Here is a 3,634-nt window from a genome sequence, read left to right on the forward strand (position 1 = left end):
TTTTATATTCCCACCAACAGTGTGCAAGTGTTCCCACTTCTCTACAACTTCAACAACACTTGATATATTTTGGTATTTTTTTGAAAATACTATTGTAAGAGATGTGAGATGGTATTTGATTGTGATTTTGATTTGCATTTCTCTGATAATTAGTGACGTCGTTACAGATAGTTAGGCATGAGTGGGGCAGGAGAGGGCTCTCCCCCAACCCACTAGAATGTCAGGTGATGGTCTGGCAATTATTGCATTGCCTCTTTAATTTGGTAATGCCAGAGGAAGGTCATTTCCTGATGGTCCAAACCTGTTAATATCAAAATATTAATTGAATGCATGCCCAAGGGAGAAGCAACTTCCTGCACATGAGCATTAAGAAACAAAAATGGTGAAGTATGATCTTCCGCGGGCACATTCCACCAGAAAAGGGAAGAAAACCTCAGATGGACAGGCTCATAATTCCCTTAACACACTGCGCATGCTCAACTCCAAAGAGTAAGGAAAGTACTGAGCATGCGGGAAGCCCACTCTAAGGGAAGGATCATGTGGAAGAGGCGAGCTTATAGAAGTCCTAGGATCAAGGTTAAACAGGGCACTTGACTTTCTCTTTCACCTTCACATGCCCGCTTGGGTTTCTTCCAAGTGCATATTCCTTTCTTTCCTGTTCTAAGGCCTTTTGAAATAAACTTCCACTTCTGCTCTGGAACTTGTCTCAGTCTCTTTTTCTGCTTTATGCTCCTCAGTTGAATTCTTTCTTCTGAGGAGGCAAGAACTGAAGTTGCTCCGAATCGGTAAGAATAGACCACCAGTAACTTGGGGTAACTCGGTTCTTTTCCAATAACAACAATATTGAGCACTTTTTTATATATCTGTTGGTCAACTGTATGTCTTCTTTGGAAAAATGTCTAACTATTAAGGTATCTATTAGATGTCTATCTAGTAAATTGTTTTATTTGGTTTTGTTCTTTTTTTTTTTTTTTTTGCTGTTGAGTTAAAGGAGTTACTTATGCATTTTAAGTATTGTCCTGTTATGATACATCGTTTGCAAATATTTTCTCCCATTCCTTAGGTTATCTTTTCATTCTGTTAACCGTTTTCTTTACTATTCAGAAGCTTTCTTATTCTTATGTAGTCCCATGTGTTTATCTTTGCTTTCATTGTCTGAGCTTTTGGTGTAATATCCAAAAAAATTATTACCAAGGCCAGTGTCATGAACTGTTTTTCTTCCCAATATTTTCTGTAAAACTGTAGCTTTATAATTTCCGGTTTTTTGTTTAGATTTTTAATTCATTTTGAGTGAATTTTTGTGTATGGTATAATAAAAAGTATTCAATTGCATTCTTCTGCATGTAAATATTATTTTCTCAACAGAATTTGTTGAATAGAGTGATATTTTCCTGATTAGGTAACCTTGGCACCCTTGTGAAATGTCAGGCAACTGCATCTACATGAGTTTATTTCTTGGCTGTCTATTCTCTTCCATTGGACTATATGTCTATTTTTATGCCAGTACCATACAGTGGTAACTATAGTAACTTTGTTCTATATTTTGAAATGAGAAAGTGTGATACCTCCAGATTTCTTTCCTTCCCAAAATTGTTTTGACTATCTACAGATTTTATGGTTGCATTTGAGTTTTAGGATTCTTCTCTATGGAAAAAATGTCATTGGGATATTTATGGGGATTGCATTGAATCCATAGATTGCTTTTGGTAGTATGCATATTTTAACAATATTAATTCTGCCAGTCTATGGAAATGGAATATCTTTCTATTGGTGTCTACCGTAGTTTCTTTAATCAATGTTTTATAGATTTTGGCATACAAATTGTTGCAGAACTTTTCCTTAGTTCAGCTAAAGATGAGGTCCTTGTCTGTCCCATGGTCATGAAGATTTAGGCTCATAGACAATTTGAAGGGTGAGTAAAGCAGGGTTTTATTCAGTGAAAAGGAAGAAAAGGGGGAAAAAGAGACTCTCACAAGGCCAGAGTCTCTACTAGAGTGCTTCCCACCTGGCCATTTGAATCTCAGTTTCCACACAGGAAGAGAAGGGGCCAAGTTCCTCCCTGCTGCAAATGTTGTGAAATTCCTGAGGTTCCACCTCAGTGGGCAGGCTGGTTGGAGTTTCTCCAGGGACTCCTTTCCAACTGGCTGTCTCATTTCCCCCTCTAAAGACATGCATCTAACTGCCCTTAGATTAAGGATAAAGACAAAGATGAACTTAACTGCTTCCTGCTGACAGGGGGTGCTGTTTGGGGGAAACAGTAGTCAGAGCTCCCTCAAAGTCCTATCTAAGGGATCCCAGCAGAAGGGGCCATCGTCAGAGGCTCAGGTTGCATGACTGTTTTGAGTGTGATGTCCTGAAGGCAAGAACAGATGAACCAGGTTATTAGAAAACATGAATCAAAACAAAACAAGAGAAGGGATAAGGACAGCTGAAAGATCCCAAGGCCTTTTACCAGTTTGTACAGGGAGAGGGAGGTCAAAAGCCCAACTGGTTTTTTAAAAAAAAAACAAAAACAAAAAAAAAACTTTACCCTTTTGCCGGCAAGTTGGGCTTCTGGGTTCCCTTCCCCTGGGCCCAATCTTAAGTCAACCAGTTTAAGGTTTAGGAAATTACTCTTTATAGTTTGGAGGATGCATCTGAAGGGAGTGTCCCATAGTATGGAGAAACAATTACCTATCAGTGAAGAGAGTCCTGAGGAGGAGAAAGGAATAAAAAGACGGCATTTTTTCAAAGGAGCCACAGGGGCTCAGGATGCATTTGAAAGGGGTACAGACTAAAGATGAATGGCTACCTATCTAGAAAGGGAGCAGGCATGCCTGGTTCCCTTCTCTTCCTAGCAGATACCCGGAGGTAAATGAGGTAGGAAGAGGAGAGGGTCCTCTTTCCCTCTTCTGTCCTTGCATCCCCGAGTTCCAGTGACCTTGGCAGGTGCTGTCATAGATGTCAAAGAGACTTGCACCCATGAAGCAGGGAGACCTAGAGAATAAGAATTATCCACTCTCACCTATGTCCCTTTCCAACCTACTGTCAGTAGCCTTAGAGTTCCCTAGACCTCATTTATGCCATGGGTATTAACACAGTTTTTATTCATGAAACAGGAAGTTTGCGGTTGGCTTAATTGGCAGGAAACAGCCACACTCACCTGCACTGTGCCTTTTAACCTCTGTTGTCATTTGCCTCTGGATCCCTCAGATCCAGTTTTCTTTCCTAGGGCTTTGACCCGAAGCTTGGAATTGAGTTTGGGACAAAAATGTTTCTCAGGGCGGTGGGGGTGGGGGTTGCATGGACTCCTTATGATAAGCTAAAGGCTAAGGTGAAACTGTGGAACTGAGTTCTCCTCCAGCAAGGGAGAGGAAAGAATGTCTTGTGACACACTCAGATAACTGATAGCTATAGTTATGCTTGCTAGGATTTGGGTGCATGGTGCTTGGCTTTTGTTACCTTCCTTGGTTTTACTTTCCCAGAAGGAAACCTCTGGGTGATGGGCACCCTATTTATTCCTTATTTATTCTAACACCTGGCAAGATTTGCAGGATAATTGCTCGGAACTAGAATATTGACACCGATTTGTACATTACCCATCCCTTTTGTTCTTTCTGAGCTGCAGCTGGAGATTGCTGGTAGGTTCACAGGA

The sequence above is a fragment of the Homo sapiens genome, chromosome X, assembly GCF_000001405.40.
Source record: "Homo sapiens chromosome X, GRCh38.p14 Primary Assembly".
Lineage (NCBI taxonomy): Eukaryota > Metazoa > Chordata > Mammalia > Primates > Hominidae > Homo > Homo sapiens.